This window comes from Homo sapiens, chromosome 10 (assembly GCF_000001405.40).
Source record: "Homo sapiens chromosome 10, GRCh38.p14 Primary Assembly".
In the NCBI taxonomy this organism is placed as follows: Eukaryota; Metazoa; Chordata; class Mammalia; order Primates; family Hominidae; genus Homo; species Homo sapiens.
Window position 1 is genome coordinate 32,000,867 of NC_000010.11, and position 25,394 is coordinate 32,026,260.

Here is a 25,394-nt window from a genome sequence, read left to right on the forward strand (position 1 = left end):
CCAGACTCAAGTGATTCTCCTGCCTTGGCCTCCCAAAGTGCTGGGATTACAGGTATAAGCCACTGCACCCGGCCTTTCCCTCCTGGAATATTTTCATCTGTGGTTGGTTGAATCCACAGATGTGGAACTCATGGATATGGCGGGCTGACTGTACTTCCCAGGGAGCTTGATGGCAAAATACAATCTGAGGCCCAAAAAGTCAAACAAGCTCTAGAAAACATCCTTGAAAAACCAGCAGTTGCTTTTCCCGCTTCACATTCTTTGCATTCCCCAGAAGCAACCACTTTCTCTGTTCTCATCTCCAGATCTCCAGTACTTCCGAATTATTCATGTTTAAGCATTATCAGTTGTCTCATCACTAAGGGAGATGAGGACTCTTTCACTACCATCAACAAACATACACACCCCTCAACTCCTCCTCTTCCCAATAAGGGCATATCATGAATTTCGTTAATAATCCTTGTTTACATTATTATGACAACGACATGCCAATCACAACTGAGCCATGTAATTAGACTATGACTTTCCCTTTCTTGCTTATATGATTCTTTTATGAATAGTAATTTTTTTCTTAGTGTTCTTTGTACCAATCATTTATTCCACCCTAAACTCTCCAGTTTTATAAATCTCCTCTCAAAATGTTCAAATATATCAATTACTCTCCATTTTGTCTTGGAAGCGTCTCTGACTGGCTCTTGTCTGGACTGGTTGCTGTGTATGCTGTCACCTTGGGGGTTCTGTTCTTTTGTATGCCCTGCATCTTTCTTAGTTTACTCCCTTATTGTGGTTGAGGAACAGCTTCCCGATAAAAGGTACATAAGAAGTGACATTTTTGCTGGCCAGCACGGTGGCTCATGCCTGTAATCCCAGCACTTTGGGAGGCCGAGGTGGGTGGATCACTTGAGGACAGGAGTTTGAGACCAGCTTGGCCAACATGGTGAAACCCCCATCTCTACCAAAAATAAAAAAACGAGCCGGGCATAGTGGTGCATGCCTGTAGTCCTAGCTACTTGGGAGACTGAGGCATGAGAACTGCTTGCACCTGGGAGGCAGAAGTTGCAGTGAGCTGAGATCACACCACTGCACCACCGCAACCTGTCTTAAAAAATAAAAATAAAGAAGTAACATTTTTGGGAGCTGGTGTGCCTGGAAACCTTTTTATTCCACCTACCCTTACACTAATTGAGGCTGGAGATAACATTGCCTTGGAATTTTAAAGATATTGATCTACTTTCTTCTAATATCTGATGTTATTTGAGGCATTCAGATTCTCAGTCCTTTGTATGAAACTTTTAAAATTTTTTCTAGTTCAGGTATTCTTTGTAGTGAAATTCACAATGGCATACCCTAGTGCGGGTCTGTTTTTATATATTGTGCTGGGCATTGGAAAGCCATGGCTTTCAGTTTCACTAATGATTTCCTCTGCTGTTTCTTCTGTTCTCTTTATGGCATGCTTATTATTCAGATCTGAGGCCTTTTGTTCTGGTCTTTTCTTTCCTACTTTCCAGCTGTTCTTTTTGTACTACTTTGTGGGAGATTTCCTCAACTTCATCTTCTCACCCTTCTATTGAGTTTTTAATTTCTATTTTCAGGACTTATTTTCTGAATATTCTTTTTTTCTTAGATGGAGAAAAACCTTACAATTTCAAAACCTGAGGATATTAGTGGCAGTTCCTTAAAAATGTTTTCTTCTCCCTTCACAGTCCCACTTTGCTCCATTTTGGGTTGTGGGTTTTGATTCTACCTTTCACCCTAGAGGCATTCCTCAAATGGCTGGTGATCCTTGCCTGTCTGCACATATTGAAGAGGGGGACAATAAGCTGACTGGAAGCAACCGGCTCATAGGAGTAGGATTTGTTGACTCTGGCATTCCTGAAACTGCTGCTTCCCTGGAGACCCCCAATATCAGCTGCCAAATTTTGCACAGAATCTTCTCATCTCCTGGCTGGAAGCATAAGCCTGGCTACCAGCATTCAGACAGCCAAGTAGGGGAAAGTGCTAAGCATTAAATATTCTGAATACAGGCTGGGCACAGTGGCTCACACCTGGAATCCCAGCACTTTAGGAGGCCGAGGCGGGTGGATCACCTGTGGCCAGGAGTTCGAGACTAGCCTGGCCAACATGGCGAAACCCCGTCGCTACTAAAAATATGAAAAAATTAGCCGGGCGTGGAGGCACGCGCCTGTAGTCCCAGCTACTCAGGAGGTTGAGGCAGGAGAATTGCTTGAATCCAGGAGGTGGTGCATGCCTGTAGTCCTAGCTACTTGGGAGGCTGAGGCATGAGAATCAAGTGATTCTTGCACCTGGGAGGCAGAAGTTGCAGTGAGCTGAGATCACACCACTGAACCACCGCAGCCTGTCTTAAAAAATAAAAATAAAGAAGTAACATTTTTGGGAACTGGTGTGCCTGGAAACCTTTTTATTCCACCTACCCTTACACTAATTGAGGCTGGAGATAACATTCCCTTGGAATTTTAAAGATATTGATCTACTTTCTTCTCATATCTGATGTTATTTGAGGCATTCAGATTCTCAGTCCTTTGTATGAAACTTTTAAAATTTTTTCTAGTTCAGGTATTCCTTGTAGTGAAATTCACAATGGCATACCCTAGTGCGGGTCTGTTTTTATATATTGTGCTGGGCACTGGAAAGCCATGGCTTTCAGTTTCATTGGTGATTTCCTCTGCTGTTTCTTCTGTTCTCTTTATGGCATGCTTATTATTCAGATCTGAGGCCTTTTGTTCTGGTCTTTTCTTTCCTACTTTCTGCAGTGAGTCAAGATTGTGCCACAGCACTCCAGCGTGGCAACAGAGCGAGACTCCGTCTAAAAAAAAAAAAAAAAAAATTAGCTGGGCGTGATGGCAGGCGCCTGCAATCCCAGCTACTTAGGAGGCTGAGGCAGGAGAATCGCTTGAACCTGGGAGGTGTAAGTTGCAGTGAGCCGAGATCATGCCATTGCACTCCAGCCTGGGCGACAAGAGCGAAACTCTGTCTCAGTAAATAAATAATAAATAAGATTCTGAGTATAAACTTACATATCACCCTTTGTATCAGTCAAGGTCCAAGGGGATTGCCTTACAAATGGATACATAAAACTTTACAGGATACCCTAGGGTTAAGGGAAAGTACCCAAGGAAGGATCAAACTCTTAGATAGGGATGTCCCTCCCCAAGTTTGGGTTTCAGATCTTGCAGAGGTGTGGCTGCAGCCCACTGTATGGCAGGGACATTTGCTGGATTGCGCTGGGTGACAGCTGAGTCAGTCACCAAGGAACTTTCCTTTGAGGTACATTCAGGCTGCCACTGGCAAGCAGGGAATCATGGCCAGGACGGGCAAGAAGGAAACACACCATTGGGGTACACATGGGCTGAGGCTGGCACACTCCTCCAGAGTACAAGAGGACAGAAAACTGCAGCCACAAGCAGGGAGTGCCTCTCCAGGCTATGTGTGAGCTGAGGCTGAAGGACAGGCTCAGAGGGAGCCACCTGCCAGCTAGCGAGGTAGTCACAGGGCCAAGGCCAGAGCTGAAAGCTGGCTAACTGACTGCATACTCGGGTCACAGCTGGGGCTGAGCCATGCCTGACAACAGGATGGTAATAAGCAGCCAGGGGAAGCATGCCAGACCTGAGAAAAGTAGCCCCTTTCTCTTGTACTGACAAAGCTCAACTGTACAAAGCTTATGCTGACCATGCTAAGGAGAAATGCCTAGAGGGTCCTGCTGAATTATCAGAGCAGGCTATTGTGTTAGTTTGCTAGGGCTGCTGTTAAGTACCACAGACTGGGTGGGTTAAACAGCAGAAATGTATTGTCTTATGGTTCTGGAGGCTACAAGTCCAAAATTAAGGTGTTGGCAGAATGGATTCCCTCTAAGGTCTGTGAGGGAAAGAGCTGTTCAAGGCCCCTTTCCTTAGCCTGTAGATGCCATCTCTGCTAATCATCTCCCCTCTATGCATTCCCTTTAAGTTATATTGGATTAAGTTATATTGGAAAATGACTGCATTTTAACCTGATTACCTCTGCAGTCATGAGGTCCAGTCCCCAGGAGGAAAGACCTTGCAACAACCCAGTACCGACTACAATTCCCCAGTCCTGCCCTCAAAAGAATGATGGCCATTTATTCAGGTTACTGAACAATGGACAAAAGGGAACACCCAAATATTTTGAAGGCTGTTGGATACAGGGTCTAAGCTGACGTTGTACCTAGAAACCTAAAGCATCATCATAGGGGCCGCAGATGGAGGTATGGTTCTATTTAGGTAACATATAGTGCTCACATTAAAGCAGCACATGCTCTGTGGATCCCTCTGCTGGTCATTTCCGTGTCTCTGATGTCTAACTAGAATTGACACACTTGGTAACTGGCATGATCACTACATTACATCTTTGGCCTGTTGGATACAGGTTATCCTGTATAGTGACAAAGGCCAAACAGAAGTCTCAAGCTGCTGTGCCTGCCCTTCCCGTAGACATAGACAGGGGTATCAGCAAAGGATGTGAGGATCTTGTGTGACATGTTAATGCCTACCAGACAGTATCTACTAGGGAAGAGGAATTTAACCAATGGTTGACATCAGCCAGTCTGTCATCCGCCAGTCTGTCATCCATCGCTGCAGTGCTGGTATCGTGAGCACAGGAATGGTGTGGCCAGTGGGAGATGAAAGCTATGCACGTCCAGTAGCAACGGCTCCCACTTACAAAGGCTGATCCAATTACGTCTGCTGCCTAACGTCCTACCAGCAATATTGAGTTCAACTGTCCCTTGAAGAAACCAACTAGCAACTTGGTGGTAAGTTGAGTACATAGAGTCTCCTATCCCAGGAGGGCCTGCAATTTGTTCTAACAGAAAAATGTGAGTTTGCCTTTCTTGACGACAGAGCCTCAAGCAGCCACTGAGAGTTTTGTATGATCCACCAGCATGGGATCCCCAGTAGACTGACTGCACTACTGCACTCCAGCCTGGGTGACAGAGCAAGACCCCATCTTTTAAAAAAGCTGACCAGCCACAGGGGCTCACACCTGTAATGCCAGCACTTTGAGAGGCCGAAGGGAGTGGATCACTTGAGCTCAGGAGTTTGAGACCCGGCTGGGCAACATGGTGAAACTATCTGTACAAAAATTAGCCAGGCATGGTGGCACATGCCTGTAGTACCAGCTACTAGGGAACCTGAGGCAGGAGGACAGCTTGAGCCTGGGGGACAGACAGGTAGCAGTGAGACAAGATCACACCACTGTATTCCAGCCTGGGCAACGGAGCCAGACCCTCTCTCAAGAAAAATTTAAAAAGCATCGGGCCAGGCACGGTGGCTCACGCCTGTAATCCCAGCACTTCAGGAGGCCAAGGCAGGTGGATCACCTCAGGTCGGGAGTTCAAAACCTGCCTGACCAACATGGAGAAACCCCGTCTCTACTAAAAAATACAAAATCAGCTGCGCGTGGTGGTGCATGCCTAAAATACCAGCTACTCGGGAGGCTGAGGGGAGAATCGCTTGAACCCAGGAGGCAGAGGTTGCGGTGAGCCAAGATTGCGCCATTGCACTCCAGCCTGGGCAACAAGAGGGAAACTACATCTCAAAAAAAAAAAAAAAAAAAAAAGCATTGGAGGCTGGGCACAGTGGCTCACGCCTATAATCGCAGCATTTTGGGAGGTCAAGATGAGTGAATCACCTGAGCTCAGGAGTTCAAAACTAGCTTGGACAACATGGCAAAACCCCATTTCTACCAAAAATCCAAAAAAAAAAAAAAAAAAAATTAGCCAGACGTAGTAGCGCATGCCTGTGATCCCAGCTACTCGGGAAGCTGAGGTAGGAGAATCACCTGGGCTGGGAAGACAGAGGTTGCAGTGCACTGAGATCGCACCACTGCACCACTGCACTCCAGCCTGGGTGACAGCAAGACCCTGTCTCAAAAAAAAAAAAAAAAGAAAAGAAAAAAGAGAGACCCTGTCTCAATTAAAAAAAAAAAAAATCAAGTTCTCTGGCCATCAGTTATGATACTGTATTAATTATCCATCCCCTATCCTAGTTTGCCTGCATGAGTGTATAAATTTTCTCACTAGTTTCTATCACTCCTATATTCCCTTTTGCATCCTATTCCTTAGATGTGCTGCGATTTTTTTTAATTTGGAAAAAAAACTGTTTTCAAATTTCTCCAGGAAAGGAAAAAAAATTAATACAAAGGCTTATAGAGCACACCTAAAAGATAATAAAATAATAAAAAACCAAAAAGGAAAAAATACGAAACTAGTCACTACTGGAAGACAGTAGTGAAGCAGCTCATTTTGAAACTTACTTACAAATAAACGGAAAGAAGCATTTACCTTGTCTTTCCTACACAAACTATACACACACACCCACTAGATAACTATACAAACACACCCACTAGATAACTATAAAGTAAGAGACCAAGTTTCTCTACTGCAGCAAACAAATGAAAAAAATGCTGTGTCTGTATCCCCTATTTAGATGGATCTAGGCACTGATCATCAATAGTGACTAATAGCTCAAGAAGAGACAAGTACACATTATGTGCCACCTGATGGAATACCACCACCTATAAATACTGTCCCCATCCAACAAAACAACTATCTGAATCTGATTACGTCTGTGGATCTGAAACAAATTTATAGGAAACATAAAGGCCACAGAAATTCGTTAAATGATATGAAAGGGATGCAACTGCAGTATCTGGGAAACTACAGGGCAAAAAAGTTATTTTCTTCATACATTGCAATGAAAAAATTAGTAAGAGTCGGACTCTTCATTAATATATGAACTTCCATTGGATCTTGACTCAAACTGTTTACAAAAACTAAATATTTGAATATCAGGAAATTATAAATTTTTTGATGTGATAATGGTATTTGTTGGGTATGTTTTAAGGAGTCCTTATCTTTTAAAAATACATACTGAAATACTTAGCCCGGTGGTTCACACCTGTAATCCCAGCACTTTGGGGGAGCCGAGGCAGGCGGATCTCGAGGTCAGGAAATCGAGACCATCCTGGCTAACACGGTGAAACCCCATCTCTACTATTAAAAAAGAAAATACAAAAAATTAGCCAGGCATGGTGCGGGTGCCTGTAGTCCCATCTACTTGGGAGGCTGAGGCAGGAGAATGGCAGTGAACCCGGAAGGCGGAGCTTGCAGTGAGCTGAGATCATGCCACTGCACTCCAGCCTGGGCGACAGAGTGAGACTCCGTCTCAAAAAAAAAAAAAAAAAAAAAAAAAAAAAAAAAAGCAGCATATGTTTTTCTAGGATTGCTTCAAAATAACACGGGGCGGGGCGGGGGGTTGTTGGGGGAAGATGAGTAGATTACGGATGAAACAAGATTAGCTGTAAGTTGATAATTGTTGAGACTAACTGGTATTACTCATTATTATTGTCTGATTTCATATCTGATTAAAATTTTCCACAACAGTATAAAAACATATAAAGCCCAATGCCCCCCAAAACAAGAAAAAACAAATACCCACTTGAATTTAGGAACAGTCTTTTTAAAGTTATTCTTCAGCTAGACCTGAATGATCATTGAGGAAGTATCTAAAACACAAACGTTAACAAGTGTTCTTATCCTGGTTAATAAAACAACCAGACTCAGATGAACAATGGGGACTATACAAAGTAAAATACAGGTGACACCGGTCGGGTGCAGTGGCTCGCGCCTGTAATCCCAGTACTTTTGGAGGCCGAGGCAGGAGGATCACATGAGGTCAGGAGTTCGAGACCAGCCTGGCCAACATGGTGAAACCCCATCTCTAATACAAATACAAAAATTAGTTGGGCGTGGTGGCATATGCCTGTAATCCCAGTTACTTGGGAGGCTAAGGCAGGAGAATCACTAGAATCCAGGTGATAAGAGTTGCGGTGAGCCGAGATCACACCACTGCACTCCAGCCTGGGCGACAGAGCAAGACTCTATCTCAAAAAAAAAAAAAAAAAAAAAAAAAGTTTTATATGTGAGACTGGTCATTCATTTCTAGCTCTTTAGCCTATACATTTAATATCTGCGGTCCAAAAGGCTGCAAGACATTAGGAAACAAAATATACATAAATATAATGACATATCAGTCACTATTCTGTCAAGACAGAAGGCCTGAACTCAGCCATGTAAAATCAACCTAACACTTAAGTTTTAAGAAAGTCATTACATTTCAAAAAATTTTCCTCTTTATTTAAACATAAAACGCATTTACAACATGCAAGTTAACTTAAAATTAAACGGTGTCTTCCCAAACCAAGTATTTGTGAATGTATCTTCAAGCACTGAAAATAAACCAACATATTCCACAGGTAGACTCAGACTCTCTTCTGTCACCTCATGTCAAATGGAGTTAAGCACAAACTGAGAGTTACGCACAGTAGTTTTCTTAAGTTAGGCAAATAATTTAATTAATCGCCATGAATAAATATTCTCTTTATTTCATTGAGTTTCTCTTCTGAACCATCTATCAATGCCATTCAGAGGAACGTTAATATATCCAGTCAAAAAGACACTGCAAATTGAAATGTGTCAATATCCTAGATGATCAGAAATTTTCATTTTTAAGAGTAAGTGCTGTGTTTAATGACCTACCATAGCAAAAAGCAGTTCACTGAAAACAAATTTATGAAATTCTTGGTACACTTTATGAAAGTCTGAAATTATAAATAGAAAAGAACCATCAAGATACTTTTTAAAAACCTAACATTGTATATTCTGAACCACATGCTAATTAAAATTCGTTGTTCATTACACAGCACCAATACCCATGATACATCTTACAAGAACAAAACTAACATATTTGGAAAAAAGAGAAAAAAAAATTCTGCTTCATTTACGAATGTTGCCAAAGGAGGCAAGTTTTCAACTGAAAACAAAACATAAAGGTCTATGTGGATGCAGCCAAATGTTTCTCCATTTAGAAAATCATCATAAAAGGTGGCAGCACTTTTTTTGCTTGTTAACTATATTACTTATAACTGGCTGCACCAACATTTCATCTCAATTTTTGGAGTGTTTCTTCTGATCAATCCTAAAAGCAACACAATCATTTTAGAGGTTGCAGACTACAACAGCAAAGATTTTTGACTATTAAAAAAATAAATAAATAAATTTATATTTTAAATCAAAATTATTACAAAAGTGGAAATTACAATAGTTACGGAAATAGAAAAATAAGCCAATTATGATCTGAGTCTTCTGACTATGGCTCCAAATTTAATACAAATATCTGTGTATAAAACTTTTGCAAAAAGTTAATTCTGCCAGCAAGATCCTAACACAGAACTTTCCAAGTTTCTCTGCTAACCTTAAATCCCCATTCTCTGTGAATTTCTGCTAACACAGTTGCAGTCACCGCCCCCCTACCACTGATGAAGCAAATAGTGAAATCTCTTTCCCTATTACTTTTACAGTTTCCTAAAATAAGCTGTTGACTTACTTTAATCATCTGAGGAAAAAGTGGCAAAAATACGTATACACTTAGTACTGATTACAAAATTATCGGCTATGGCCAAGAAAATAATTTATCTAATGATTATTAGTGACTTGCAAACAATTTACTATTTCTAGACTAAAGAAATAAATTAGTGTACAAATTAGTGTAGCAGGTTAAAAACACCTCAGGGATTTCAGACCAAAATTGACCTATATATATTTTTAATTCATCATATATCTGTCCTGTTTCTTCATTTTTCTCAATTTCCACACGCTATAAATTTAGGTCGGCCAATAAAGTACTAACCGTATAAAATTATGTTTAATCCTATAATATCTTAATTCATTTTACTAATATTAAAGATGACAAATTATTACCTGTCCAATACTTATATTAGCTAGCAGGCTCACCAGAATAAAGCAGAGTATTTTAATTCCATCAAGACTTGTTGAGTACAGAATCAGGAAAAAGAGAAATATAATTCCTTTTCCAAACTCCCTTAAACTAAGATCTGCTTTTGATACTTTAAAATATTTCTATTCAAAATAACTCGGCAACAGGCATTTCATGAGATAACAAGTAGCCTTGCTCAGTCTCAAATGCCTATTAGGCATTTGTAACGTTTCAGTGCTCAAACAGTAGTTTTCAGGAGCAAACTTCAGAAACAATACAAGTAATTTTAACCCTGATATCATCATTTCAAGGGATTTTAAAATACAGTACTGACTGGATATATTTTATGGGCATGTAGTGTTGTTAAGTGGTAAAATTTAAAGACATTTAACCTAAATGTTCCATTTTCTCTTAAGAAAAAAAAAGGAAGACGTTTTAATAGGAAAAGAAAAACAAGAAGCAGTAGCAGCTAGGTAATTTAAACTGAGATTAAAAAATAAACATACACAAAAAATACAAAAAGTACAGTCCTATAAGGTACAGTTAGCTTGGCACAGTAAAGACTAAATTTAAGACACGATAGACAAACTGTGTAATAAATAGGGCCACAGTTGTAAACTGTCCTTTTTCCCTCCTAAGATGCCAAAATTGCACTCTAGTTGTGTTGGGAAGCAGCAGAGTTTACAAGAAGAGTAGGTAGGAAACAGCTGTACAGGCCAGGTATAATTTATACATTTTTTTTAAAAGTTATAATTCTACAATCCCAAGGGAGTAGAGGTTATAGTCATTGAATGACTGCTTGATACCATGTCCTCTTCGTACTTCGATTACTTTTTAACACCTAAAAATGGGAGAAAGCATAGAGTAAATATGTTTAGTTTTACAAAATTGGTGTTTGAGATAATCATGAAGAATAAAACAAAATAAAATATGCCAACAGTTTATTATAAACATTTTAGCCAACATCTGTGGCTACTTTCCCCAAAATTAGAAGGATGGCAATATTAAATGATTTGGTTTCCTTTTATATACTACCTAAGTAGAACTGTTTAGAAGCAGTAATGTTTAAAGGGAGGTCAGCCCTCCCTTTGTTTTTATTCTCCCAAATAAAGCTATGGGTAAGCTGATTTATGAATTGTATTTGTTTAAAAAAGAAAAAGACGGCTAATCTTTTAACCAGCAGACAGTGGTCAGTGACCTTCTTAAACCAAGGAACACTAACCAGCAACTACTAGTTATATACATAGAAGCTTTAAAAAAAAAAGGGGGAGAGGAATAGGGATAAACAAGAGGTGTATACAGTAGGAAAAGTAACAGTGAAATAAATAATTCTAGTAGTATTAAACTGCCTACTTACCTATGCATTTAGAAAAGCAACCTATTTAAAGTACTATGCAAGGCAGAAGACTAGTCATGTAAAACTGGGAACTAAAAGTATCAGTATTATAAATGTCATCCTTTCCAAAAATAAACACAGTGACTTGAAATGTTTTTCTTAACATTAAAAAAATTTCTCGCCGGGCACAGTGGCTCACACCTGTAATCTGAGCACTTTGGGAGGCTGAGGGAGGCAGATCACCTGCGGTCAGGAGTTCAATACCAGCCTGGCCAACATGGCAAAACCCCGTCTCTAGTAAAAATACAAAAACCTTAGGCGGGCGTGGTAGTGGGCGCCTGTAATCCCAGCTACTCGGGAGGGTGAGGCAGGGAGAACTGCTTGAACCCGGGAAGCAGAGGTTGCAGTGAGCCGAGATCCTGCCACTGCACTCCAGTGCAAATTATTTAACATTTAAACAATTTATCACTTAAGTGAATCATATACTCCCCAATCATGGTTTAAGATAGATTATAAGAGTTTGAAAACTAAGAACCACTATCTTTGGACCAGCATCAAAACAAACCTGTAAATAATTGTATTTTTACATCATAACTTTCAAGTCTTGAAAACCTAGTTTGGCTGGGTTAGCTCCCTCCCTTATGTGCTAACCTGGTGTCACTTTACTGCTATCAGCAATAGTTAACAAAAGTATGGTCTGTCCTCTCTCTACAATGAGGTAAGTTTAAAGTTGACATATGAATTTTAATGTGAGGACAATATCCAAAAAGGATAAACTTTCTATCTATGCTTTGAAAATCCCCTTGCCCAGCTCCCACTTCCAGAAAGGTAGGAAAAGGCTTGCATCTACTGAATACTGTGTGCTGGGTAACATCTTAACTCATGTAATTTTTTTTTTTTTTTTTTTGAGACGGAGTTTTGCTCTTGTTGCCCAGGCTGGAGTGCAATGCCACGATCTCGGATCACTGCAAACTCCGCCTCCTGGGTTCAAGCGATTCTCCTGCCCCAGCCTCCCGAGTAGCTGGGATTACAGGCATGTGCCACCACGCCCTGCTGATTTTGTATTTTTAGTAGAGGCAGGGTTTCTCCGTGTTGGTCAGGCTGGTCTCGAACTCCTGACCTGAGGTGACCCACCCACCTCAGCCTCCCAAGTGCTGGGATTACAGGTGTGAGCCACTGCTCCCGGCCAACTCATGTAATTCTTAAGAATGACTTCCATTTTACTAATAAAACTGCTATGAGTCCAAAGGGGAAAAACACAGGAGTTATCTCTAATTATCATGAAAACCAGCTATTGTATGTCTACTGATATTAAGTACATATTATCTATGACATAACTTTGTCAAAAATGTTTATGCTGAGTCTAATCAATGCTTTTGCATAGAAATAGAGGGAGAACAAGGTGACTACACATAAAAACAATCAGACACAGGTGTTATACCCTCAAGATAACTGGGCCTACTCAGTAAGTCAATATCACTAAAGAGGGTGCTCATTCAAGATCAGAAGAGATTTAAGGGATAAAACTAAACGCAAACAGCAGTCCTGAATTGTACTCTGGTTTAGACAAACCAGCTGTACAGGATAGTGAAAAAGAAATTGGAAAAATCTGAATATGGAATGGTATTAAATAATATTAAAAATATAATCTTACTGGGTGTGATAATATTGTGGCTATGTAGAAAAATGTTATTTTAGAGATTCATTAAATAGTTAAGCAATAAATCCATAATTTTTATGAAGTACTGTAAAACAAGTCAGAATGAGAAAAAAACTATTAAAAAGTTTATCTGCTCAAGTTCATAAAAGTAGTCAGGATTCCAACTTGGATGGAACTCCATAGTCCCTGTTCTTTTCACTCTACCACTGTTTTAAATCCTACATTGTGTGAACAAAACGTTTAAAATTGCTAGAAATGTGAATCCTTCAGAATATTTCTTAATTCTCTACTCAACTTAGAGCCAGTATTATGCAAAATGTCGAAGTATAAACAAGCAACATTAAAATAAACTAGCTTTAGTATTTGTCAGAAACAGCTGATCATTTCATAATTATCTAGTATTTTTTATTTCCAAAGCACATACACACATCAGGGACTTCCTGAAGAGTTAGTTACAATCAGAGTTGCTGCTATATGACCAATTATTAGGCAACCACTAACCAATCACGTTGTAGAAGAAAGTGTTCCGAATATATTGCTAAGTTTAAAAAGCAGGCTACAAAATACAAAATTAGCCGGTGTGGTGGTGCACGCCTGTAATCCCAGCTACTTGGGAGGCTGAGGCAGGAGAATCGCTTCAACCTGGGAAGCAGAGGTTGCGGTGAGCCAAGATCACCCCACTGCATGTCAGCCTGGGCAACAAGAACGAGGCTCCGTCTCGGAGTGGGGCAGGGGGGTGTGGGGTTTGTGGGGGCAGGGGGCCGGAAAAAAAAGCAGGCTCCGAAGCAGCATATGTAGTAGAATAAGTGGAGTCTATTACAATAGTTATCAACAGTTTAAACTTTTAAATTTAAAAACTAATACAGAAAGCTCCAGAAAGAGAGAGAGAGAGAGAGAGATAGTATATTGTGTAGTATCTCTAGATTTTTTCTAATTTGTGACTGTTTTATGCCCTACAAAGAACAGATATTACTTATATAATTATAAATAAAACTCAGAAATCTGTTAGTAAGCTGGGCTCATAAGCAATTTGGTGCAGTCTTTCTAGAAACCAATGTGTTAATATGTAGCAAGAGCCTTAAAAATGTTCATATTTCCTTGTAATTGCATTTCTGGGAACCTTCTGGAAATAATCTCTAACAGGTTAGGGAATACAAGGAGATGTTTCAGGTCGGGCGCGGTGGCTCACGCCTCTAATTCCAGCACTTTGGGAGGCCGAGGCGGGCAGATCGCCTGAAGTCAGGAGTTTGAGACCAGCCTGACCAACATGGTGAAACCCCTCGTCTCTACTAAAAACACAAAAATTAGCCAGGCATGGTGGCAGGCGCCTGTAATCCCAGTTTGGGAGGCTGAGGCAGGGGTATCGCTTGAACCCAGGAGCCAGAGGTTGCAGTGAGCTGAGATCACGCCATTGCACTCCAGGCTGGGCGACAAGAGTGAGATTCCATCTCAAAAAGAAAAAGAAAAAAAAAAAAAGATGTTTCAAATTTCATATATGAAAATTTTGGTTTTTGAAAATTTCAATTATGGAAAAAATTAATATAATTACATGTCTAGCCAAAAGGAAAGGAATGTTTATAAACCATGGTACATCCATTAGACACAGTATCAAAAGCTATTACAAATGGTCCAATGCTAGATTTCAAAACAATTAAGACCACAAATTTGAATATATAGTATGATCTAAACTACACAAAAAGATCAAACTAAATTACTTTTATAATGCTTAAGTTAAAAAAATCATAACACTAATGTGAGAATTTTTTAAAACCAAAAAACCTATTTAACAACCAATTTTCCACAAACAGATATGAAAAGCCAGATATAAATAACAAACCTGTGGGTATGTATAAACGATTACACTTGTTTGCCTCCTCCACCTCGCACTGCCACTGGCTGGCTGTTCTGAACAAATGCACCTCCTCCACGAATTGCACTTGGGTGAGTTGGAGAAGCTGCTGGATGTTGCCCGGGACGAATAGGTTTAGCTAATATGAAAAATAAAGACAGACTTTAGAATAAAGTTTAAGATGTGACTGCAATGACTGTTAAGGTTTCTTCTCTTATTCACAACAAATTCCCAAATGTTTTGTTTTTCTTTGCCTTTTTGTTTCTCCATCACTTTTTCTTTTCTGTAACATCCTTTTCTCTAGGACCTATACAATTCTTAGCCTTTAAAAATCTTCCTGGCCAGGCGTAGTGGCTCATACCTGTGTAATCCCAGCACTTTGAGAGCCTGAGGTGGGTGGATCATTTGGGTCCAGGAATTCAAGACCAGACTAGGCAATAAGGCAAAACCCTGTCTCTACAGAATATAAAAAAATTAGCTAGGTGTGGTGGCGTGCACCTGTAGTCCCAGCTACTTGGAAGGCTGAGGTGGGAGGATTGCATGACCCTGGGAGGCTGGGGCTGCAGTGAGCCATAATTGCACCACTGCAGTCTAGCATGGGTGACAAGCAAGACCCTGTGTCATAAAAAACAAGCAAACAAACAAACAAAAAAAATGGCTGGGCAGTGGCTCATGCCTGTAATCCCAGCACTTTGGGAGGCCGAGGCAGGTGGATCATCTGAGGTCAGGAGTACGAGACCAGCCTGACCAACAAGGAGAAACCCTGTCTCTACTAAAAATACAAAATTAGCTGGGCATGGTGGCTTGCACCTTCAATCCCAGCTACTAGGGAGGCTGAGGCAGGAGAATCGCTTGAACCCAGGAGGCAGAGGTTGCAGTGAGCCGAGATCACGCCATTGCACTCCAGCCTGTGCAACAAGAGTGAAACTCCATCTCAAAAAACAAGCAAAAAATAAATAAATAAATAAAACACAAAAAAAACACTTCCTGCACCAATTTTTGTTTGTTTGTTTGTTTGTTTTTTGAGATGGAGTCTCGCTCGTCACCCAGGCCGGAGTGCAATGGTGCAATCTTGGCTCATTGCAATCTCGGCTCATTGCAATCTCCACTTCCCAGGTTCCAGCGATTCTCCTGCCTCAGCCTCCCAAGTTGCTGGGTTACAGGCGTTCACCACCATGCCTGGCTAATTTTTTTTATTTAGTAGAGACAGGGTTTCACCATGTTAGGCTGGTCTCGAACTTCTGACCTCAGGTGATCCACCCGCCTCGACCTCCCAAAGTGTTGGGATTACAGGCGTGAGCCGCTGCGCCCAGCCACCAATGATTATTCTTAAACGTTAAATCATTGCTGATGGCTTATTTTCTTGCAATTCTCTTGGCTTTAATAATATTGCTCTATATAGTTTCTCCATTCCATGACCATTCTTGCTTGCTTCTCTAGTTCTCATTTATCTTCTTTTTCTGCTAATGTGATTATTCCTCTTTCCCAACAGTGCCACTCTGCTAAGTTAGAAAATAGAGACAGATGCACCATGACAACACATAAAATTCGGATTACGTTTTCCACTAAATGAAAGCATTCAAATTGAGCAAGGTTTAAAGGTTTTAATGTGTTCTACTAACCAATCTGTGCAGAATGCCCTCTTCTGGCCATATTCTTTGACCTGACTGCTTCCTTTATGCGATCTACTTCTTGCTGATAGCGTTTGCGATCACGAGATGCATTTTCTTTAGCTTCTTTCAGTGCTGATTCCAAAGCTTTCACTCTCTCAGCTGTAGCTCGAAGTCGCTTTTCCAACTTAGGAAGTTCACAGCGGAGATCTGCATTATCACGTACCAACTAAACGTACACAAAGAAAACAAGGATTCCAGATTTAACAGGATGACTTGAAAAAGTATGAGCATTTCATAATTGCTCTTTAGAAAAGTAAAACTGCATTTTATATTGTTTCCCATTTATCTAATTTAGGCAGAAACACGCAAGGAATACATCCATCTATACATAGCGTGCACACATCTAGTTTATTCACAAAGGTATAATTTCCTTTAATTTTTTAGGGGGAGAATTGTTCTTTCCCTCTACTAGGCAAAGACAATACATTACAAGATAGTGCTATGTTTCTTCAGTAAGACAACTAATCTGGTTAAATGAAAACTGCGTCATTATGTCTGACACACTGGGGTATTAGGTATAAAAAGACCACTCTCCCCAAAAGACTTTGCAGTACTTTAACTGCAGTCTTGTGTAGTAGAGATTTCAAAATTACCATGAATAAATTATGAAAATGCACAGTCTTAAAATCCTAAAGGGAAAATGAGAATACATGTTTTCACTGCCTCTTTTGATAATAACGTTGTTAAAAATATTAACTCCTCTAAAAGTTACTTATGGTTTCTTTATATAATTTCTGATAAAATGGCTCAGGGTATAAAAATTCCTGAGGACTCTGAAAGATTGAAATACTCACTTGCCAATCCTCAATTTTTGATTTTTACTATCTTGCAGCTACCAGAAAATATACTCTTTAGTACCTGTTTGTGCACTTTAGTGAGCTGTTCAAGATTATTTTCAAGAAAGGAGATTTTTTGCTTCTGAGCAGCGCTGCCTCCGGTGTCATCAGAATCAATCTCAGCACTCTGAGAAAAGAAGGTAAGTATTACAAAAAAATTAAAAAAAACTAAGCTTAACTATACAAAAATTGACGTGACTGTAAAGTTATTTCACTTTGAATACAAATAATTACCTAGAAGTAAGCACCATTTATGCAAACGCCTACCTCGGCATAGTTACATTACCTTTTTAACTCTTGTAGCCAGGTCCTGAACAAAGAGTTTGCGCAGGTTGTGTAAAGTCTGAAGTTCTTTTGCCTTGGATTAAGAACAGCGATATTTTTGGAGCTCAGACTTTAAATTTAGAATAATCATGGTAGAAAAAACCCACAAAATATTTCCCAATCCTGTTTATTTTCATGTTTTTCTTACCACTGTCTCTTCCAAACCCTTCAAGTCTTGTCTTGCTTGTTCTCGTCTATCTTGCATAACCCTAACAGTAGAAGAACAAACATATATTTTCAAATTTTATTCTGTATATTGTACTTAGCATGAGAGTTGAATAAAATATTTTGTGTCTGAAAGGATAAATTCTTAAATTTAAATAAATACAAGATGCCTATTTTAAACAATTTACCTGTGCTGTCTTTCAAAAAAAAAATTTTTTTTTTTTTGACACAGAGTTTCTGTCCCAAACACTGCTCACTGCAACCTCAACCTCCTGGGCTCAAGTGATCCTCCTCACCTCGTCTCCCAAATAGCTGGGACTACAGGCATGTACAATCAGCCCTGTCTAAAAAAATTTTTGTAGAGACGGGGTCTCACTATATTGCCTAGGCTGATTCTCAAACACTGGGCTCAACTGATTCTCCTGCCCTGGCCTCCCAAAGTGCTGAGATTATGGGTGTGAGCCACTGCAGCTTTGCAATTTCAAAAAATTTTCATATGCCTTCTAAACAACAGTCTATTGTTATACATTCCATATATAGCAATGGAAGAGATGAAATAAAATGTGGCAGAATTCAAAGAATAAGGAATAGTTCTATAATTTATATTTTAAAATATGCCACATGTATTATACTGCTATTTATCCAAAATGATACTGATTAATTATAGATTATAAACTGTCAAAGACTAAAATATTTTACATTACAAGTATTCTAAACAAAATTACAGCTGCAAGTTAGCAGAATCTTCATATAATCCACTCTGAACTGGTCCTGATGTTCTAACTATCCTAACAATATCAGTTGATTTGCAAATTGTCTCACAAACTCAAGGTATGTGAAAAATTATAATCATGCACTTTCTACCTGCTAAGATTCTAGAAAACTGAGTTTTGAGAAAATGAGAAAAGGTAAACCATGAAAACCTCTGTTCAAAATGGCAAGGCTAAACACCACAATGCTCTTTTATGCAAGAGAAAATTTAACAAAAACTCAGTTTTTGTGTTAGATCTTAAAATCTTCGAAGTTACTTAATATATTGTTTTAGGTTCATTTTTATGCTGGATCCTGAAGTAATATGGAGATAAAGAAACAGCAAGCAGATTAATAAAGAGAAACCTTAATCTTAACCACAATGAAATATAAGACCTTGCTTTCACTCAAATGCAAGTATATATTCCAAGTATTTAGATATAAATCAAACCAACTCAGTGGATTTAAGAAAAAATCCTTTAGCCCATACAAAGTAAAATATGTATCCACTGGCTATATCCAAAGGTAATGCCTATAATCCTCTAATTTAGCTTTTATTTTTAAACTTTAATTAAAAACAATTACTCACGTAAGTTCATGTAGTTTTCTGCTCTTTTCCTGATCTGTGGCTTTCAACTTCTCATGTTCTACTCTTAGACGTTCCTGCTCTAACATCATTTTCTGGTTTTGGCTGACGAAAGAAAAAAATAATTAACACAGTATCAATATCACAGTTTTCTCAATGTCATCATTAAAATTTCCAAACTTTTAAATTCTATAATCTCATCAAGGACTTTTCTGTTATCCTATACCCTATGGAGGAAAAGAGGAAAGGGACCTGGCTACTTGTGGACATACAAAATTTTTCGTATTTTGGTTTGAAATCATGATTCTGTTCTCCTCTGTCTTTCATCTTCCTGAATCCTTATGCCTACTTCCATCAGGTATTCATAGTAAGACCTACGCCCCAAACCTCATCATTATTTTGTTATGTTATTCTCTTCTTGGTTCCTACTCAAATTGTTGCAAACTCTGACTTCCATAAACTCTATGTATGTGCACATGGTTATGGAGGCAGGGAAATTGCTTCTAGATAAACTAAGATGACAACTTAAAAAAAAAAAAACCTTTGAAAATCCATAGAATTTCCAGAAAAGTTTTTCCCAGTTAAGAATTTTGAGTCAGGGTCTCGCTCTGTCACCCAGGCTGTAGTACAATCATAGCTCACTTCAGCCTCAGATTCCAATACTCAAGCAATCCTCGTGCCACAGCCTCCTGGGTCACTGGGACTACAGGCATGTGCCACCAAGCTCAGCTAATTTAAAAAATTATTTTTTGTAGAGATGGAGTCTCACTATGTTGCCCAGCTGGTCTTGAACTCCTGACTTCTAGTGATCCTCCCACCCCAGCCTCCCAAAGCACTGGGGTCACAGGCCATCAGCCACTGCACCCAGCCAAGAATTTTTTTAAAAAAGGAAACTAAATAAAGGATTTGGAGAAGACTGTGGTATGCAATAATAGACTTAGGTTGGGGATTTTTTTCTTTTACTGAATAATTTAGATCAAAAGACCTAAAAAAAAGCCTCAAAAATTTCACCTGGAATTTAGAAGTTTTACTCATAAATGAGAAAATTCTTTATTTTCCAAGATAAAAATGTAATTTTGATGAAAACTGCAGGTTTCTAATAAGAATATATACCATGACCATCAGTAACCGATTCTTTCCTCCTAACTAGAGAAGTATAATACTTACTCTTGAAGATCAGTAATAAGTTTTGCTTTTGCTTCTACTTCATCTCTCAAACTACTGATCTGTTTTTGATGAGTTTCTCTATGGCTCTGGATCTGCTGTTCAACAGCTTGCTAAAATTTTGGGGGGGAAAAGGATGTTAAAGTCAGACTAATCAAAATTAATACTGATTAATTAAAGCTGTTAGAAATGTGACATCAAACTTGCCTTAACTTCATTTGCAGTCTGAACCTTATTTAAGTGCTCCTTTTCCATTTCATGGACTTTCTCTGTTTGAATAGAGAGAAAATAGAAGAGTGAAATAAGCCTTTAAGGTTCCTCATATAAACCAAGGAGCAAATGGATTTTACAATAAGCATTTTCCTTAGCAATATTCAACTTCAAATTACCCAAATGTCACCTGCTCTCCAAGTTCAATGACATGTAGACTAGTATACAAGTTACATCCATTGTGTTGGTATTATGTATTCCTTTATGGTTTGTTTGGTTTTTTTTTTTTTGGCCTAATCCAGAACAGATTAGTTAAGGGAATGGTAAAGAAATGAGATAACTCCTAAGTCCCCTATGTTAAGACACACACACACACACACCCCGCTTCGTAACTGTGGGAAATCCCCAGATTGGCTATTTCCATATTCAAACAAAATCTTAAAAATATATATATATATGTTTTGACAGGCACAGTGGCTCATGCCTGTAATCCCAGCACTTTGGGAGGCCAAGGCAGGCAGATCACGAGGTCAGGAGATCAAGACCATCCTGCGTAACACGGTGAAGCCCTGTCTCTACAAAAAAGGTAAAAAATTAGCCAGGCGTGGGGGCATGTGCCTGTGGTCCTAGCTACTAGGGAGGCTGCAGCAGGAGAATCACTGGAACCCAGGAGGTGGAGGTTGCAGTGAGTCAAGATAGTGCCACTGCACTCCAGCCTGGGCAACAGAGTGAAGACGCCGTCTCAAAACAACAACAAAAAAATGTTTCAAAGCAACATTAATATGTATGATTTGTTTACCATTCGAAATCAGCCATATTCCTACTATTTCTTTCAGTGTGAATATTAAGTTTACTACAATTATACTAAAATAAGAACACAGATGTAACTCATAAACAGTTGGAAGCTATACCTTGTGCTCGAAGCTGGACTAGTTCTTCACTGAGGGCATCGACAGATTCCTCCAACTGTCTTTTCTTTTGTTCCACATTTTGAAGGTATTCAGTCAATGACTTGATTTTGGCTTCATGCTTTTGGAAAAAATATACTGATATGAAGTGGAAAACATATGCATACACTTTAAGAATATTTGACAGTAAACATTTCATTATCTATATATGATAAATTTGGGAATATTTAAAACTAAAATATTCAGGAGCCAATTTTGAAATGTTAAAGAATGTAATCAATTAATTCATTGGTGATCATAACTTGCAAACTAAGGCACTGAAGACTCAAATATGAAATACTAATTTTACAGATACCACCATCTAACGTTACCATCTTCCCTCCTTGTGAAATTCTGATAGTGGTGAATGGCCCCATTCATTCAGTTGCCAAGCCAGGAAACTGGTTCCCTGCAGTTTTGCCCACCCTGGAATTCTGAAGTCTTTAACAAGTTACCACCAGTCACATCATTCTGGTAAATTTCTATACATAACCCATATTTATGTTAGGCAAATATAACTCAGTTAAATCATTCAAATTTACTGCAGCTAGACTAGGAAAAAAACAACTAAATTTCACCTATAGACACACATTTTTCTGAAAACTTGTATAATAAATAAAATTTCTATGTGGCTGTTTCAAAAAAATGAATAAACTTTGTTCTATAACATACTTGAGAGATACGAAGCTGACATGCTGCTAACTCCTTTTCATTTTCTTCCATTTTTTTGTTGCTCTCAGTTTGTGTGCTTTCTAACTGCTTGCAACGTTTCACCATGGTTTTTACTTCTGACTTCATTTTGCTAATGTAGAGTCTTGCAACAGTGAACTCTTCATCTATCATGCCAGTTCCCTCAGGCTGCTGTAAGGAAAAAGTAAAATAAAAAATTAAAGCCAAAAATGTTCAATGTGTGTTTTCCCAATTAGGCTATAAAATCTTTTTATAAAATATATTTTAGTATTACTCAATATTCATACAAAGTCTGGATCTTATTTTTTTCTTTTATTACTGTTTTCAACGAAAGGTAAATAAATACAGCTTACTTTTTGCCTTCCTTTTTTTAAAAACTGAGAATAATGTTAATACATGCCAACAAGAAAAATAAATAAATGTAAACCTAAAGAAAACACAAAAATACAACCAAACTAATAAATTCTGCCTCTTTCAATTTTTTCACTTCCTCTTTACAGGACCTCTTCAGTAAATTCATTGTTAATCATGTGCACGTTCAGCTTAAAATTTAACAAGAGGATGTTTAGGTGGCAGGGAAAGGATGAACTTTAAGCTCAACCAGAAGGAATTGTGGTCACTGTATATTCCTTCACCTTCAGGAAGAAATAAAACTGTGCAGATGACATGATTAAGTTTACATGTAAAGTCAAAAGACCCTGAATAGCTAGCACAACACTAAGGACAAACAAAGTCACAGGACTTGACACTATGCAACTTACTGTAAAGCTATAATAATCAAAACAGTACAGTGCTGGCAAAGAACAGATAAACAGGTTAACAGAACAGAATAAAGAGCCCAGGAATAAAACCACAAAATACAGTCAACTGATCTCTGACAAAGGTGCAAAGGCAATTTAATGGAGGGAGGACAGTCTCTTCAACTGGACATCCAGATGTGAAACAATGAATCCTGGTACACACCTTACCCCTTTCAGAAAAATTAACTCCAAATGGATCATAGATCTAAATGTAAATGCAAAACTGAAAAAAAAACTTTTAACACAGGAGAAAATCTAGGTGATATTGGGTTTGGTGACAAGTTTTTAAATACAATACCAAAAACACAATCTATTAATGTAAAACTTGGTAAGTTGGACCTCATTAAAATTAAAAATTTTTAGTCTCAAAAAATGACGTTGAGAGTAAAAAAAAAAAACAAAAAAAAAAAAACAAGACACAGAGAAATAATGCAAAACACTATCTGATAAAAGACTTATATCCAAAACATATGAAGAACTCTTTTTTTTTTTTTTTTTTTTTTTTTTGAGACGGAGTCTCGCTCTGTCGCCCAGGCTGGAGTGCAGTGGCGGGATCTCGGCTCACTGCAAGCTCCGCCTCCCGGGTTCACGCCATTCTCCTGCCTCAGCCTCCCAAGTAGCTGGGACTACAGGCGCCCGCCACTACGCCCGGCTAATTTTTTGTATTTTTAGTAGAGACGGGGTTTCACCGTTTTAGCCAGGATGGTCTTGATCTCCTGACCTCGTGATCCGCCCGCCTCGGCCTCCCAAAGTGCTGGGATTACAGGCGTGAGCCACCGCGCCCGGCCGAAGAACTCTTAAAACTCAACAATAGGAGGCCAGGTACGGTGGCTCACGCCTGTAATCCCAGCAATTTGGGAGGCTGACGCGGGCAGATCACCTGAGGTCAGGAGTTCAAGACCAGCCTGGCCAATATGGCGAAACCCAGTTGCTACTAAAAATACAAAAAATTAGCCAGGTGTGGTAGTGGGAGCCTGTAGTCCCAGCTACTCGGGAGGCTGAGGCAGAAGAATTGCTTGAACCCAGGAAGAGGAGCTTGCAGTGAGCCGAGATCATGCCACTGCACTCCAACCTAGGCGACAGAGCGAGACTCCATCTCAAAATAAAACAAAACAAAACTCAACAACAGGGCCAGGCGCAGTGGCTCATGCCTGTAGTACCAGCACTTTGGGAGGCTGAGGCAGGCGGACCACCTGTAGTCAGGAGTTCGAAACCAGCCTGGACAATATGGTGAAATCCCATCTCTACTAAAAATATAAAAATTAACCAGGCGTGGTGGTACGCGCCTGTGTTCCCAGCTATTTGGCAGGCTGAGGCAGAAGAATCACTTGAACCCAGGAGGCGGAGGTTATGGTGGGCCAAAATCACGCCACTGCACTCCAGCCTGGGTGACAGAGCGAGACTCCGTCTCAAAGAAAAAGAAAACCTCAACAATAAGAAAAAACACAACTGCAAATTAAAATGACAATAAAATAACACCATACATTAGTAAAATCCCAAGAAACTGACAAGAGCAAACACTGGCAATGATGTGGAACAGCAGACTCTCATTCATGGCTGATAGGAATGCAAAATGTTTCCACCACTTTGGAAGACCATTTGGGAGTTCCTTACAAAGCTAACATAGTCATAACGTACAACCTAGCACTTCTAGGTATTTTTACTCAACTGAACTGAAAATTTATGTCCAAAGAATAACTTACACATGAATTATTATTATTTTTTTTGGAGACAGAGTCTCACTCTGTCACCTAGGAAGGAGTGCAGTGGTACCATCTTGGCTCACTGCAACCTCCACTTCCTGGGCTCAAGCAATTCTCGTGCCTTAGCCTCCCAAATAGCTGGGACTATAGGCGTGCACCACTATGCCTGGCTAGTTTTTTTATTTTTTGTAGAGATGGGACTTCACCACTTTGGCCAGGCTGGTCTCAAACTCCTAGCCTCAAGTGATCTGCCCGCCTCGGCCTCCCGAAGTGCTGGGATTACAGGCATGAGCCACCATGCTCAGCCTACACATGAATGTTTATAGCAGCTTTGTTCATTAATTGCCAAAACCTCAAAGTAACCACATAGGTGAATGGATAAACAAACCATGGTACATTCATATCATGGAATATAATTTAGTAATTTAAAAAAATGATCAAGCCATGAAAAGCCATGGAAGAATCTTAAATGCATACTGGTAAGTGAAAGAAACTAGCTGAAAGGGCTACATATACATACTGTATGATTCCAACTATATAACATTTTGGAAACAGCAATACTATAAAGATAGTAAAAACATCAGTGGTTGCCAGAAGTTCAAGAAGTAGAGGTGAATAGCAAAAACACTGGGAATTTGTTAGGGTGGTGTGGGAACTATTCTAAATACCGGACCTATAATATTATGCACTCCTTAAAATCCACACAACTATAGAATACAATGAGTACAACAATCATTGTAAACTGTAACATAAAACTGTAAACTGTAACTTAAGAACAACAACAGGCCGGGCGCAGTGGCTCATGCCTGTAATCCCAGCACTCTGGGAGGCCGAGGTGGGCAGATAAAGAGGTCAGGAGATCAAGACCATCCTGGCTAACACGGTGAAACTC

At 39.4% G+C, this 25,394-nt stretch overlaps 1 protein-coding gene and 1 long non-coding RNA gene across 4 annotated transcripts in view, besides 2 other annotated features; one reads left to right on the forward strand and one right to left on the reverse strand.

The window, feature by feature from the left end:
- The window catches only part of LOC107984219 (uncharacterized), a 97,548-nt gene extending 78,015 nt beyond the window's left edge, over nucleotides 1-19,533 (forward strand). Inside the window, exon 3 of the long non-coding RNA XR_001747415.2 lies at nucleotides 17,160-19,533. This is a non-coding gene — a long non-coding RNA (uncharacterized LOC107984219). The remainder of the gene's footprint in view (nucleotides 1-17,159) is intronic.
- Nucleotides 1,812-2,627: an enhancer, noted in NCBI's record as "H3K27ac-H3K4me1 hESC enhancer chr10:32291606-32292421 (GRCh37/hg19 assembly coordinates)". NCBI's record gives its function as "activates a minimal SCP1, AML or CMV promoter by ChIP-STARR-seq in primed H9 embryonic stem cells {active_cell/tissue: H9 hESC(primed)}" and the evidence as "EXISTENCE:reporter gene assay evidence [ECO:0000049][PMID:30033119]".
- KIF5B (kinesin family member 5B) overlaps nucleotides 8,149-25,394 on the reverse strand; it is a 47,411-nt gene continuing 30,165 nt past the window's right edge. For 2 of the 3 annotated variants that reach the window (NM_004521.3, XM_047425203.1), the window contains 11 exons: nucleotides 21,982-22,170; nucleotides 21,274-21,391; nucleotides 20,360-20,421; nucleotides 20,156-20,265; nucleotides 18,992-19,093; nucleotides 17,636-17,696; nucleotides 17,450-17,521; nucleotides 17,186-17,290; nucleotides 16,277-16,493; nucleotides 14,643-14,793; nucleotides 8,149-10,650 (listed from right to left, as the gene is read on the reverse strand). In NM_004521.3, the coding sequence (NP_004512.1) occupies nucleotides 14,663-14,793; nucleotides 16,277-16,493; nucleotides 17,186-17,290; nucleotides 17,450-17,521; nucleotides 17,636-17,696; nucleotides 18,992-19,093; nucleotides 20,156-20,265; nucleotides 20,360-20,421; nucleotides 21,274-21,391; nucleotides 21,982-22,170 (1,167 nt within the window). In that variant the 3' untranslated portion in view covers nucleotides 8,149-10,650; nucleotides 14,643-14,662. Of the gene's footprint in view, nucleotides 10,651-14,640; nucleotides 14,794-16,276; nucleotides 16,494-17,185; nucleotides 17,291-17,449; nucleotides 17,522-17,635; nucleotides 17,697-18,991; nucleotides 19,094-20,155; nucleotides 20,266-20,359; nucleotides 20,422-21,273; nucleotides 21,392-21,981; nucleotides 22,171-25,394 lie in introns of those variants that run through there. The other variant, XM_047425202.1, reaches the window with a different exon arrangement.
- Nucleotides 17,148-18,347: an enhancer, noted in NCBI's record as "CDK7 strongly-dependent group 2 enhancer chr10:32306942-32308141 (GRCh37/hg19 assembly coordinates)". NCBI's record gives its function as "activates an origin of replication core promoter dependent on BRD2, BRD4, P300/CBP, MED14 and CDK7 cofactors, with strong dependence on CDK7, by STARR-seq in HCT116 cells {active_cell/tissue: HCT116}" and the evidence as "EXISTENCE:reporter gene assay evidence [ECO:0000049][PMID:35650434]".